We start from the raw sequence: 14,902 nt of genomic DNA, 5'->3' as shown, positions 1-14,902 counted from the left end.
ATTCTTAGGGGAGCCACCAAAGCCACCCGCCACACGTGCATTTATCCTGGGAACTGCCGCATGCTTTGTTGTCTGCCCACTGTTTCCATGCGGTTCTTCCCGAGCTGTCCCAGGGTTCTGCAGTACCCCTCAGGGTGCCCCAAATCCACCACCTGGCAACACACTTGCTCCACTTGGCAGGGGCTAAAGAGAAAAATGAAAATGAGAAGGTGAACCCCAGAAAACACCGGAAGATAGGGTAAGTTTTTCTCTAAAGGTGACAACTGCTCATATAATATTCAGTCTTCAGTTGCCAATTCAAGACTTGAATTTGGGATTTGGTTCCTGCAAAAGTCCGGATCATCAGTGAAGGTCACAGGCACACTTGGATCTTTCCCAGGGAATCACCACAGAAGCCTCTACGCCCCTAGCCATCTGCTTTGTCCTAGTGCGGAACAAGCAGGATTAGAGGGAAATGACACCGTGACTTTGTCTGGGACTCATCTGCAAAGTGAAACCTTAGACTAAGAGTAAGGCCATCTCTTCGCCTCTCGGAATCTACAGCCTCCTTCATAGAATGCCGATAGCAATATCCATTCACTAATTACATTATTTAACAGCCACCTAATTAATTAAAGCAGCATAAATGAAGACATGCACAGAGCAAATGTCAATAAATGTTTGCCACATGTTGGTTTGCACCATGCAGACGTCCATGTCCAAAGTCACCCCATCCTGTTAGGTTCTGCAAATTACTCGGGGGTAATTCGGGAACTCAAACTCCCGGTCAACCAATCCGCTGATGAGAGAACATTCATTTGCTTTGTCTTTCTCCAACAGCCAGCCTGAAATAAAGAATGAAAAGGAAACACACTAAAAAACATGATCCCTGGACAGAACCACCTTTCAGAACAGCAGGCGGCTGCTGTGACTGCCATGTCACTGCGTTCTGCTCCCAGCTCCCTATCTCACACAGCAATCCTAAACAGAGGCTCAAGGTACTTCCTTCTGGAGAAAATACAGAGCTCTGTCTTCAGTCATTCAGTCAACGTGGGCCCAAGAGTTCCAGAGCGAGAGGAAGAAAGCACACCCACCAAGTTCTCTAATATCAAAATAGAGCAATTTATTCAAGACACTGAATATGATCTGTTGATTCTCTCTTGAAACAAATGAGCTACAACACACAAGGTGATTTTTTTTTTTTTCTTCAAAGAGCGTGAGGGTGAGTACAGGTGGCGGGGGGAATGAAAAGGCGGTCGCTGTCATCTGAACAGAATCGGAAAAATGCCAATAGAGAACATGTCTGGCTGTACGTCTGACACAGACAATAAAAACTGCACAAGCCAGAATGCAAAACTTCAGTGAGTGGCGGAAGGAACATTTCTGCATTTGACAAGAAACATAAGCTTTTTTTTTTTCTTTTTTTAAATGGCGGAACAAAAGGTTAAAAAACAGAAAAGCAACAAGAACAAAGCAGACCCTTACATTTGACAAAGTGCACTTCACTTGGCTCCATGATCTATTTCTTAGAAAGACTAAACAAAAGTCAAGTCCTACGGTGTCGCGAGGGGTCAGAGGGTTTCACCCTGTAACGTCCGGCCCTTTTGGTCCCCCTTGGGGCAGCATCCCTTTCCCAGGTGTGTGCTGGACCTGACTCTCGGTCACTGTGAACCCGACCAAACACTCTAGGAAGGTCTGTCATGCTATGTCTGCTTTCAAGGTCACGTTTGGTCACTAAGACTTAGGCATTCCTCACCATGTTTTAAGAGCTGTAAACAACGTTGAACAATAACATTCCACAGGCCATTTCTTGATTACAGGGATGACTCTACCAACATGCCAGCAGCAGAGAGGGTGAGTAGTGGTGTGCAAATGCTGGAGGCTCTGAAAACGGCTGTCCATGGTGTTGTCCCGCTGAGAACGGGGATGGATATGAAGGGTGCTAGCTGCATCTCGCGCTTGGTTTTGCTTGCGGCCGCAGGCTGGGGAAGCCAGGGATGGAGCCTGGGGTCCGAGGCCTCCCAGCCCAGGTTTCTACCTAACAATTCCGACATGGTTCACATTCATCAAGACTAAAGCCATCCCTCGGGAGAGACCCTGGCTACCGACATTCATGTGAAGATTGTCTAGTGAATTGCTTGCGACACATCCCACCATCGCCATCCCACAGTTGTTACTGGTTTGTCAAGCATAAGCCATGCCCTAACGACAGGCTGGCCTTTGACAGCAGATGTTCTACAGAGATGAGTGCATTTTTATTTGGGTGGGGTAGAGATGGTGTCTTTTGGACCCCAACAAACTGTACTCTAAACTTCACAGAGTCCTTGGGACGGGAAATCATCACCTCATCCAGGGACACTGGCTATCTTCAAAGATGGGTGCGGCGACTCCACATCACTGTGACCTTCTTTGCTAAGTGTTTCGGAAACAGAACACGAATAAAATACTCATCTCAGAACCAGAGCACTTTTTGGTCTTCTGGGACATGAATAATTCACATACCCAAGTGGAGGCCAATCAATGATCTGAGAATGATCAACGCACCCTGGCTTTTGCAGGTGGTCCTGGCACGTTCCAAGTTCCACAGAAGCCCTGACCCTTCCCCGATGGCTGGGTTTTGGCTCCGCAGATGAATGCCACCTTCACAATAACACCGTCTCACTGCTGGAACACACACCAGATTGCACCCTACCCACTGCTGGTGACCCAGCAGCCCCCACGGGCTGGGCCATCTTCCTCAGCCCTTCTGCCCACAGGAAAACCAATGGGAGAAGAGGCCCTTGTCCTTTGGCCTTTTCCCCCTTGCTAATGACAAAAATAAGTCCGTGTCGGGTTATGACAGCAAGCAGATGGAGGTCACCAGATTCACTGAAATGAAGCTCTTCTAGGAACACAAAGCCTTGTTTAATTTTTTAAAAACAGCAAAAAGATTATTTAAAAAAGATCTTTCTCCTAGTCTTCTGTGAGACAAAGAAATTATAAAGATGGCAGAAATTATTAGCGACGTTCTACCTCTATAATTCACGTTCAGGACTGAAAATCTTCCTTCTGCATTCATTTCTGTCAGCGTTAGACTAAGTGACATGCGGGCGCCTCTATGTCAGCTCTGCAAGGACTCGCCAAGCCTGCTCTTGGAGAAATGACCATCGGTCGTTATACGGTTGTGGGAAAGATGTAGCCAACACGCCTAATCCAGCCGAGCAGTCGGTTTCGACGGCTTCTGCAGTACCTTATGGTTCTGCCAATGCTCCCTTGAGGCCAGAGGGCGCGCGGCTCTTCGCTGCTTTCCTGCTGGCTGCCAAGGTGCATACACACCAAAAGATGCGAGGTTCTTCTTCCAGCCGGCATGGCGGGGACCTCCCTCACTGGCTGCAGAGCAATCTCGCTGCTGACCCCGAAGACTGACCCTTGTCCAGCCAGAGTTTTCCTGACCACCTTTCCTGAGGCTGAGGGGAAAGCCAGGGGCTCCCTCAGGCCCTGCCTGTGGCTTCTTCGGTTCTTTTTAAAACATGAATCACACAAAGCTCTCTATGTCTGATGGCCATTTTAAGATTTTAAAATTGTTTTAACATAAAAATATTATTTTTTTTTCCAAAAATACTCCAGGCTCTTTCTCTTATAAGTCATTTTTTTTTCTCCTGTAAAAAGCCCCCCTGCCCTGCCTTCTTACATAAAGCACTTACTACGCGCCAAAGTGCCCTTGAGACCTAAGATCTGAAGCAACTATGAGAAAGGTACAGAGGGAGAGAGAGAGAGAAAGAGAGCACGCCAGTGAGAAAGCGAGCGCGAGCGCGAGCGCAAGGGGAGGAGAGGGTGGGAGAGGGCGGAAGGGGGAAAGCTGTCCGTGGGAGATTGTGTCTTCATGTCCACGGGGCTGCATCTCTTGATGGTGCACTGAAAAAGCAGAGCTCACCAGACAGAGTGGAAAGGCAGGGGGAGGGGCAGGGAGCAACAGAAGGAAGAGACAACAAGCCCAAGACAGCTTCCATCTCAGACGGAAGGCCCCCAGAAGATAGAATTCCAGCCGACTGAAAAACCACCCAATGAACAAAGAAGATTCTAGAAAATAGAAAGTGTTGGGATTACAAAGTTGCGCGTTTCATCGGTACAAACTGGTCTTTGAACCTCCTTTGTGAGAGCAATTGTAGTGTCCAAATTGTTAGGGAAAACAAAAAAAAAAAATCCCAAGGAGGAGGGTTTTTCCCCCTTCCCTGTTTGGTTTATCACAGCATTTTGCTTTTTTTTTGGCACAGCTTTTTACGTTTCTTTCCATTCAGCCATCACAGAGCCTGTTCCGGGTGGAAACCAATCCACACGCCTCGAGCTGGTGACTTCCTCCTTCCCAGGCTGAATGTCCTCAGTGGAAACCATTCTATCCCCGTTTGATATGATTTGCTTCTGTTTTTGCTTGCCTTTTAAAAACTTCTTGATGAAGATTACGAAAACATATAGACTCCTGCGGCCAGAGACGAGTTGGTTTCAGAGTACACTCTAACGCAAGTCAAGTTCCTACAGTTTTGGAGAATAGAGCTGCAACCCTACACATTCACGGCTGGTCATTAGAATTCTTTTCTTTTTTCGATAATATTTTGTGGTTACTTCCGCAGATCCAAAACACACACCTGGAAGGAAAGATAAAGCACCTGTCATCTTGAGAGACAATACAAAGATGCCTTTAGAGTGAGAAGTCGGCAAGCTACGGCCCCCACGCCCAATCTAGCCCTCCACCGATGTTTGTCAGTAAAGTTTATTGGAACATCGTCATGAAGGGTCAGAGAAGCTCTCATAACAGACTGGCATCTGGACATCGGACCGAGCAAACTGAAGCAAACAGCACAGAGCAGAAAGGCCAGGTTAAGGGTAATGATAGGAATTAACAGAGTGGCAGAGGTCCCAGAAGGGACACCTGCAATCGTGGGGCAGATGACAATACGAGCCCAAGTACACAGCCTCTGACAACATTTGGGGACTACTCTGACCCTTGGCCGTTCAGCCAGAACGGCCGCTTGCCCCAGAGGTCAGGGCAACCTCAAGTCCAGGGGAAAATAAGAAATCCAGATGCCCCATGGGAAGAGAAGAGGGCCCAGGAGACCTGCAGGATGGCCACCAGAGGCCCGGGCTTCTCAGCCACAGCATGGGTGACAATTGTGGCCACCCTGTGCACAGTAGGAGGTTTAGCAGCATCCTCATCTAAGCACAGTCACGCGTCACATAATGACGTTTCCAGCAACAACGCACCGCACAGACCGCAGTGGTCCTGTAAGATTATAACCATATATCTGCTGAACCTTTTCTATGTTTAGATAGATCCGGACGCACAAATGCTTACCATTGTGTTCTGGTTGCCTACAGGAATCAGTATGGTCACCCGCTGTCCAGGTTTGTAGCCTGGGAGCAATAGGCTGTACCACACAGCCTCGGTGTGGGACAGGTATTATCATCTAGGTTTGTGTCAGTCACTCTATGATGTTCAGACAAAGATAAAAGTGCCTAATGACACATTTCCCAAAACGTTCCCGTCATTAAGCGACACATGACTGTAGTGACAACCTAAAATGGCTCCAGATATTGTCTAATGTCCTTAGAGGTGCAGAATCACCCTGGTTGAGAACCACCAATTTGACTGAGAAAATGTTGACTAGAAGGACACTCTGGAAGGGACAAGGAGAAGGCCATTCCCAGATGTGGTACCAACTCCGATGGGATCCAGCCCAGAAGCTTCCTTTGGCACTGGGCTAGGCCCTTCAGGACACGAATGCTGCACACGCCCTGGAAGCTCACTTAGGCATCAGCTGCCCCCAACACCCCACTCCCCAGCAAACCAGAGGTGTTGCTTACAGAGCCGTCGGACGCGCTGGCACCCACTTTGTCTCCTCGGGCGTTCCAGCACACCTCGAAGATGCCGCCAGTGCCTCGGTAGCTGTGGACAAGATTTCCACTCTGCAAAGCAAAGCAGCTGTCACTTACAACGCAAGGGGCGCCTGCGACAGATGCAGGTGTGGAATGTGCGCTCCTCCGGCCCTGACGTTTCGTCATGAACATTTTCAAGCATGGTGAAATTTAAGGGTTTTCAGTAAGGACTCTGGGGGCCATGGAGATGTGCCTCTAGGACTTCCCACCACGAGGAGTGAACCTGATTACTTATGCCTGCGGAATCTGCCACATTTGCGTGGATTCTGAGGCTGCACCCAGCTGAGGACTGATGGAGGCGGGAGACCATGGCAGTCACCTGCTGAGACTCAGACTCATCTGGTGGGTAAGTGGCTCATGGACTCTCCATCAGCACGACCAAAACTTTCTACAGACCTGTAAGGGCCATCCCTGACTCTTCCTACCCTTCCCGTCTCCTTCCCAGGGTCAGACTGGCCTTATGGTCTGAATTCTCCCTTCCCCCTACCTTCCTCCCTGTTTCCATCACAGCTCTTTCCCCCAATAAATCTCTCGCCCATCTAATCCTGTTCTGGTGTCTGTTCTTTGGAGGACCTGAATGAATACAACATAATGAATACACCCACCCCAGTAGCAATTAAATTGACTGTAATTCATGATTAAATGTAATAATATGCCATGACATTAAAATGTACGTATTTTTGGACATTTGAAAGAAGAAATGCATAATATACATGTAATGGAAAACACCACAGACCATTGGTTTCCGGTTTAAAACAGCATTAACTTGACAAATCTAAGAGGTAGGGGAAGTTGAGGCCTTTGAAAGAGTTGAATAAGGCCAGGCGAGGTGGCTCACCCTGTAATCCCAGCACTTTGGGAGGCCGAGGCGGGAGGACGGATTGAGCCCAAGAGTTCAAGACTAGCCTGGGCAACACAGTGAGACTTCGTCTCTACAAAAATTAATTTTAAAAAATAAAAAAGAGAGAAAGAGTCGAATAAGCCTTCACTCATGATTCACTATGGTGACAGGCAGGAGAAATCTGAACACCGAGACCAGGAGGGCTGTCCCAAATCCTCTGCTCAATTGGGCCCCTTAAAGGGTGGTGTTCCATGAACTGAGAAAGGTGTGTGTCGGCAGTATTACAGATAAGTATTTTTATACTTGGAGAAAGATTAAAGTGGGCTTTAAGATTTCTCTTAAGAAAATTCCTAAGGATTTCTTGGCCGGGCGCGGTGGCTCATGCCTGTAATCCCAGCACTTTGGGAGGCCGAGGTGGGTAGATTGCCTGGGGTCAGGAGTTCAACACCAGCCTGGCCAACATGGTGAGACCCCGTTTGTACTAAAAATACAAAAGTTAGCCGGCTGTGGTGGTGCGCACCTGTAATCCCAGCTACTCGGGAGGCTGAGGCAGGAGAATCGCTCAAACCCGGGAGGCAGAGGTCGCAGTGGGCCGAGATGGCATCACTGTACTCCAGCCTGGGTGACGAGAGTGAAACTCCGATCCAAAAAAAAAAAAAAAAAAGAAAAGTCCTAAGGATTTCTTTGATTTATAAAAAAGGGTTGAAACAGTTCAGTGAGTTCCTGACAACAGGCTGTACCTAACTGATCATGTCATTGTTTTGATAATTGATGTGTTCTTTTTACAAATCCACCCATTACTATTTCTAGCGAGGATTTCAGGAACGGAGACTCTTGGACACTAGTGCTGAGATGCGTGCTTCCCGGAGAGCTATCTAGGGCTGTGGGGCTGGGCTTGGCGTCGGGTTGGCTCTACGCAGGGTCCACCATTTCCCTTCCTTCCCTGAGAGGATGTGGTTCACATGAGGTCCCTGGGAAGCCTGTGATCTCAGTGGACCCCTTGCCAGTGAACAGGGCTCATCACCATTGAGTCCACAGGGGGAATGAACTTGAGGGTATAAATCCACCTGAATGTCAACCAAGCCAAAAGGAACCAAGAAGGCAGTGCAGATGAAAGGGGGCAGGGGGAAGGCTGTGTGATTCCTCCCCTCCTGAGGCGAAAGGGACCCCTTCCTTATTTTCAACAGCTCCTAGCATATTATCACCTCTCTCTTCCCTTAGACTAGAATCACGTGCTGATGGCCCTATACAATCCTTTATGCTATGCAGTGCTACTTCCCATCCATTTCTACACTTTACAGCTGGAATTCTTCTATCCTCAGGTGTGGCCCAAGATACCCACAGCAGCCACCTTTATTTAAATCCTATGTCCTTTCAATCCCTGCTAAAAGGACAACCCAATATTGACATACCTTATGTCCTCAAACAGAACCTACTTTGATTTGAAAAATTGAGGCTAGGCACGGTGGCTCACACCTGTAATCCCAGCACTTTGGGAGGCAAAAGTGGGCGGATCACCTGAGGTCAGGAGTTCAAGACCATCCTGGCCAACATGTGAAACCCTGTCTCTACTAAAAATACAAAAATAAGCTGGGCATGATGGCGGGTGCCTGTAATTCCAGCTATTCAGGAGGCTGAGGCAGGAGACTTGCTTGAATCTGGGAGGCAGAGGTTGCAGTGAGCCAAGATCGCGCCACTGCACTCCAGCCTGGGTGACAGAGTGAGACTCCGTCTCAAAAACAAAAACAAAAACAAAAAACAACAACAACAAAACAAAACAGAAAAGAAAAATTGAAGTGGCATGACAACAGCAAGAGCACATTCCTTCCCACTCCCTGGTCTGCTCCGTAAGGGAGCTGCAGGAGCTGGTGTGGCCTTGACCCCGTTAGCTGGTCCCCCACTCCCACCTTCTAACCTCAGTATCTAGAGAGCAGCACTTCGGTGATAACTGCTAAGAAGAGGAAGAGGCAGGTGGAAGGTTTCGTGCCATGGACTCAGAAAAGTGAACAGAAGACAGCGGCTCCTTCAAGGAAGAACGTGTGCCAAGGTGAGGGTTTGGAATCAAATGGCCAAGAGCCATGATTACGGTGGACACGACGCCCTTCCTCAGGGAGGGGAGCTGCCGGAGGTGTCTGGTGGGGGAAGAGCTGACAGCCCACGTGGGGTGCACGTGGACAGCATCCACTGGGTCTGCCCGGGGAGCCTGAGCTTGCTCAACTCCCTCCGGGGCACTGCTCTGAGCCAAGGGCACTGGAGTCGTGGCTATTTGGGCATCCCTTACTAAAAGGATTTGGTGTAGGGGTCGGGAGCTTACCTGAGTATTCCAGATATGGACGCACTTGTCGAAGGATCCACTGGCCAAGTACTTCCCATCAGGGCTGAAAGCTACGCTATAGACAGGCTCCTGATGCTTCGTGAGCGTGTGGGTGCAGACGCCTCGTTCTATGTCCCACAGTCGCACCGTAGAATCAAACGAAGCACTAGCAAGGTGGGAGAGAAAGCAAAATCACATACACACGGTGGTTTCAAACAGTTCTCCATAATGTGTATCAGATCTCCAGGAGTTGTTTTTCCCAGCTTTTACGTTTCAAAAGATAATAACTAAAAAGCTTTTTGTCTTCTAAACTGTAACTACTTACAAGTATTAAAAACAAAGCCATAGTCATTAAACAGAAAAAAAGCTTTAATGGTCTTATTAGGGAAACAATTTGATATCTACATTTGTTTCTGCACCTTTTTTTTTTTTTTTGAGATGGGGTCTTACTGTGTTGCCCAGGCTGGAGTGCAGTGGCGTGATCATGACTCACTGCAGCCTCGAACTCCTGGGCTCAAGTGATCCTCCCGCCTCAGCCTCAGCAGAGAAGCTGCAACCATAGGTCCACACCCGGCTAATTTTTATTTTTTTATTTTTTGTAGAGACGGGGTTTCACTGTGTTGCCCAGGCTGGTCTTGAACCTCTGGGCTCAAGAGATCCTCCTGCCTCACCCTACCAAACTGTTGGGATTACAGGTGTAAGCCACTGCGCCCAGCCCTGTTTCTATGTTTCCTATAGACGTAAATGGTAAATATTTTTGTAGAATATTTATCAAGTTTCCTAAAATGCCCCTACAATTTAAAACATGACATCTATTATTACCAACTAAATTAATACAGACAGCCATATTTGGAAAAATAGCAAATTAAGTGAATAAACATTTAAAAAACTTTTTAGGCCAGGTACAGTAGATCATGCCTGTAATCCTAGTACTTTGGGAGGCCAAGGTGGGAGGATCACTTGAAGCCAGGAGTTCAAGACCAGCCTGGGTAACATAGGGAGACCCTGTCTCTAAATAGAAAATAAATTTTAATCAAACAAGAATTAAAATACAATCACATCCACATACGTAATCACATTATTGAAAGCTGCAAATTTTAGTTATTTTCAAACTTAGAACAGTAATATCTATCACAAAGCTATTGTCTGGCTTGCTTTCTTTCAACAGGGACCCATTAGGTACCGGGATGCCCCTTTTATACTTGCTGACTAAAAGGATAATTTATGCTCCTAATAGTACCACGCGACGCAAAAGCACCTTCTGAGTCATCACAAAACAACTCGAGTGTGTAGTACTATATCACACTATATCACAGTACTTTAAGTGGATTTTATGACAATTACTTGAAATATGAGAATTACGGCCTATGTGTTCTTTGTTTTTTTGGTTCCGTCTCTCAGTGGATGCAGGAATTCCATCCTGTCCTCTCTAAGAGATGACCTTAATTCGAGCACCGTCAACAGGAGTTGGTGCTGCCTGGCTTGCTGTCCCTCAACTGTGGCTCTGCAGTCATGTTGGGTGGTTTTTTTTCTTCTTCTGTTTTTTTTTTTTTTTTTTTTGAGACATGGTCTTGCTCTGTCACCCAGGCTGGAGTGCAGTGGTGTGATCACCGCGCACTGCAGCCTCAATCTCCTGGGCTCAAGCCATCCTCCTGCCTCAGCCTCCTGAGTAGCTGGGACTACAGGCACACGTCACCACGCCTGGCTAAGTTTTTGTAGAGATGGGGTTTCACCATGTTGCCCAGGCTGATGTTGAACTCTTGGGCTCAAGCCATCGTCCTGCCTTGGCCTCCCAGGGTGCTGAGATTATAGGCGTAAGCCACTGTGCCTGACTCAAAACCATCCTTACCTCAAAGGCAGGTGTTACTCGGTAATTCTATCCTGGCCCCTTCAAAGTGAGCTACCGCTTTGCTTCCTCTGAAGGGCTTCAACACACGTGCATGGACGCGCTTTAGCAGAATTTCCTGTTGTCTTTGTGTAACACCGAGCTGTGCCAGCTGTGTTGCCTGCCCTTACCTTGCCAACATGATGTTGGAGTTTGGGTTGCTGGTGGCGGGCCCAGTGGGGCTCCACTTGATGGTGTAGATCTCTTTATTGTGAGCCTGAAGATCATGGATGCACACCTCCTGTTTCATGCTCCAGATCTACAGAACACACCAGACACAACATGAGCAAAAGCCATTCCTGCATCCGGGAACGATGTGGAATCATTCCTCCCGGGGGTGCACACGGGGCCCAGGGCAGGGTGGAGGGTGCACAGTGGTGAGAAAGGCTGCAGGGAGGCTGCGATTCTCAGTGGGACTATGACTGAGAAATCGTAGCTCACCGGATGACAGAGGAAGGGAGGGTGGTCAGTAATAAATAATCCTCATGTAAGAGTGACCGTGAGACTGGCATCAAGTGCCCGGGGTTGTCTAGGATTAAACAGCCCACCCCTTGCCATGCCGACTCTACCTTCAATGTCATGTCATCCGAGCAGGATGCCAGCAACATTCCAGACGGATCCCATTTGATGGCGTTGACCTCGTTCTGAAAGAGAGCAGAAGAGTGTGAAAAAGACATCAGGGCCTGTGAGTAGATGAGGTCACCTTCCAGCAGGGGGCAGCAGCGCGCCACCGGCGCTGCAGAAGGTCTTCGGCTTCAGCCTGACATCAAAGGGCACAGCCCAACCAGCCATCTAGTTTCCTCTTTTTCTCACTTTGCCTTTTTCATTTATATAAAACCACAGCCCTATACCACACAACACCAGCCACTCTCATCCATACTTCATTAAGAAAAAAACCTTCCCTGCTAGGAAGGAAGGCAAGTGAAGAAATCACATACCATAAAACGCAGCAAATAAAACCAGTAAAACCAGTTACTTTTTAAATTGGCCTTTGAAAATCACTTTCCTATGCACTTTTCTTTTTCAGACAGGGTCTCACTCTGTCTCCCGGGCTGGAGTGCAGTGGCAGGATCACAGGTCCTTGCAGCATGTACCTCTTAAACTCAAGCAATCCTCTTGCCTCACCCTCCCAAGTAGCTGGGACTACAGGCAGGCACCACCATGCCCTTTTTTTTTTTTTTTTTTTTTGGGATTTTTGCCCAAGCTGGTCTTGAACTCTTGGGCTCAAGTGATCCTCCCACCTCGACCTCCCAAAGTGCTGGGATTACAGGCGTGAGCCACCATGCCAGGCCTCTTATGCACTTTTAATGTAACAGTTCCTCCAGTGTCCACACCCATTAGAAGGTATTTCTCTCCTGCAGGTGAGTGGAGGCGGAGGGAGGGGTAAACATGAGAAGTGAACCCTCACCTATTACGGAGTTCAAGCGGGGTAAGGGCTGATCCAGGTGGAAGATGGGCGACCCAAATGCACACACAGGCAGGCACACATGTGCAACACAAGTGAGAGGCAAATGCTGAGTGGCACAAACACACATGACACAGGCAAAATCCTGGCTGGGGGCTCGTGATCGGCACAGCCAGGTAGCGAAAAGCACAGGCTCAGGACACCTGGGGACCACGAGGCTAAACCCTGGAGGATAAAGGTGAATGAATGTACCCAGGGGCCAAGGGAGACGGGGACACTACCGGGACAGGCATGTGTAAAAGAACCACCTGTGGCAAAGGTTCAGCTGGGGAACAGCCTACCCAGGAGAAATGAGGGGACATGGCGTACCAGCTTGGGGCTCCCTCAGGGGTGACTATAGGGCCCCATATGTCCAGTCCAGTCCCACCATGTGACACCTGCTGTCCCGGCCTAACAATTAACTAATGACACACTCATAATGAATTTTCTAAATTTCATACTCCTAAGGGCTCCGGTTTGGATTAACTGTATGGTCAGGTTGCTTTCTAAGAACATGGAGTTTTGAAGGGTGTGAACTGGACAGTGACAAGGCCACATCTGTGTTCCATGAGGCACACGTGGCCCAGGAAAGGGAGGAGGAAGAAGTTTCGCGGCCCAGGGGCAGGCTGCTGCGAGAGCCCGGGAGGGTGGAGGGGGCCGACTGGAGAGGGGGCTGAGGGTTGTGAGTGTGCACACGCATGGGTGTCTATGAGTGTGAATGTGTATGCAAGGCCAGCAAGGGTGGCTCTGACTGCAGCTGTTCAGAGGAAAACTCATGGGCCCAGGAATGTAGAGCTGGTCACCACTGGCTGTCCCTAGCCAAGCCCATGCAAAGGAACAAATAACTTCCTGGGAGCGGATCCCTAGCTCTGCAATGCAAGCCCCGGTTCCTGGGCCGCCTCCAGAGCCGGCTCATGGGTCTCCACTCAACCCCACTGAGCTGGAGCTTTGTTCAGGGCCATCAGCCACATTAAGACCCACTTAAAGGGCCAAGGCCTGTGCTGGTGGCAAGGTCCTGGGCAGGACACCTGGGAACTGCAGATAGTGTGTACAGCTCTATTAAAAACTTGTGGATAGTCCAGGGTTAGAGGAGAAATAAGTTTAGACCGGGAGAAGAGAGTCAGTTTGGAGCCAAACAGATGTTAACAGGACGATAGGTGCCTGTGCTCTAAAAGCGCCTTCCTTTGGGACAGGGACCCCTGGGCCAGGGGTGGGGAGAGGTGGGCATTAGGGGAATCAGGACAAGGGAATTTACATCAGTTAAGTTAGTGGCACAATGGCAAATCTCCAGGGACTGTGACCATCCTCTCCTGCTTTAACAAGGGACCCCCACCCTGCCCCACCACAGAGATATCCTGGGTGCTGGTGAGAGAAAGGCAAGATGCCATGGTCCCAGCATTGATGCACTCTGCGTTTTCTGGGAGAGGCAGACACGCAGGCCAGCAGCTACTGCCAGGGCTGTGGCATTCATGTGGGCAGTAGGAGCTCAGGGGGTGCCGTGAATCCTCCCCAGGGCGTGCAGAGGATACGTGAATGGGCCTGGAGACTGGGGAGGATTCTGTTTTGGACCGAGAGCTGCTGTGGGGGTCTAAGGCAGGGAGCATTCCAGGCAGGGCTCAGCGCGGGGCAAGGTGCTTGGCTGCACGTGTCTTTAGGAGGACAGAGGCACAGGGAATTTTTGGACACTAGCCCAGGAGGTCGAGGCTAGTAAATGGGTTTACCAGCAGACTGGAGATTGCAGAAGGTTAGAGACCATAGAAATTGGCTAATCTGAGGGAGATTTGGTGAAAGACCGGGAAGCGCCTCAGAGGCCAAACTAAGGAATTTGCTAAGTCAGCTGTTGTTCCCATTGTTGTTCCCTGGTATATAATGGATTTGTCAGCCTCTGCTTGCCTTTAGGATTTTCTCTGTCATTGATTCTGGTGTTTGATGGCCATATGCCTAGGTGGATATGGTCTGTTCTGTTTGTGTGGTTCTGTTTATATTTGTTCTGCTTGAAATTTGCTGAGCTTCTTGGATTAAATGTTGATGTTTTCCACCAAATTTAGGAAAACTTGGCTGTTACTGCCTCAAATGATTTTTCTGTTCCATTCTTTCTTCTCTCCCCATCACGCATATAGGTTTAGGGTCTCTGATATTGTTCCATAAGCCATTAAGCCTTTATGCATTTTTTCGATCTTTTATCTGTTCTTCAAATTGGCCAATTTCTATGCTCTCTAACCTTACTTCCGCAATCTCCCATCTGCTGGTAAATCCACGGATGTGGTTTAGGATCGGTGTCCCCACCCAAATCTCAGGTGGAACTGTCATCCCTGATGCAGAGGTGGGGCCTCGTGGGAGGTGTCCGGATCATGGGGGCAGATCCCTCGTGGCTTGCTGTCTTCGTGAGTTTTTGTCCTTTAAAAGTATGTGACACCCCCCCCACTCCTCCCACCTCTTGCCCCTGCTCTGGCCATGTGAGGTGCCTGCTCCTGCTTCACCTCCTGCCATGGTTGGAAGCCTCCTGAAGCCTCCCCAGAAGCAGATGCT

General features: G+C 48.9%; 1 protein-coding gene across 4 annotated transcripts in view, besides 2 other annotated features; it reads right to left on the bottom strand.

The window, feature by feature from the left end:
* TBL1X (transducin beta like 1 X-linked) overlaps positions 1,081 to 14,902 on the bottom strand; it is a 256,446-nt gene continuing 242,624 nt past the window's right edge. For all 4 annotated transcript variants that reach the window (NM_001139468.1, NM_001139466.1, NM_001139467.1 and 1 more), the window contains 5 exons: positions 11,499 to 11,573; positions 11,061 to 11,188; positions 9,045 to 9,210; positions 5,818 to 5,919; positions 1,081 to 4,601 (listed from right to left, as the gene is read on the bottom strand). In NM_001139468.1, coding sequence (NP_001132940.1) covers positions 4,575 to 4,601; positions 5,818 to 5,919; positions 9,045 to 9,210; positions 11,061 to 11,188; positions 11,499 to 11,573 — 498 coding nt within the window. In that variant the 3' untranslated portion in view covers positions 1,081 to 4,574. The remainder of the gene's footprint in view (positions 4,602 to 5,817; positions 5,920 to 9,044; positions 9,211 to 11,060; positions 11,189 to 11,498; positions 11,574 to 14,902) is intronic.
* Positions 11,748 to 12,404: an enhancer, noted in NCBI's record as "H3K27ac hESC enhancer chrX:9676457-9677113 (GRCh37/hg19 assembly coordinates)". NCBI's record gives its function as "activates a minimal SCP1, AML or CMV promoter by ChIP-STARR-seq in primed H9 embryonic stem cells {active_cell/tissue: H9 hESC(primed)}" and the evidence as "EXISTENCE:reporter gene assay evidence [ECO:0000049][PMID:30033119]".
* Positions 12,405 to 13,062: an enhancer, noted in NCBI's record as "H3K27ac-H3K4me1 hESC enhancer chrX:9675799-9676456 (GRCh37/hg19 assembly coordinates)". NCBI's record gives its function as "activates a minimal SCP1, AML or CMV promoter by ChIP-STARR-seq in primed H9 embryonic stem cells {active_cell/tissue: H9 hESC(primed)}" and the evidence as "EXISTENCE:reporter gene assay evidence [ECO:0000049][PMID:30033119]".

This window comes from Homo sapiens, chromosome X (genome assembly GCF_000001405.40).
Source record: "Homo sapiens chromosome X, GRCh38.p14 Primary Assembly".
In the NCBI taxonomy this organism is placed as follows: domain Eukaryota; kingdom Metazoa; phylum Chordata; class Mammalia; order Primates; family Hominidae; genus Homo; species Homo sapiens.
The sequence above is the reverse complement of the archived record's forward strand: the minus strand, read 5'-3'. Positions and strand labels throughout refer to the sequence as shown.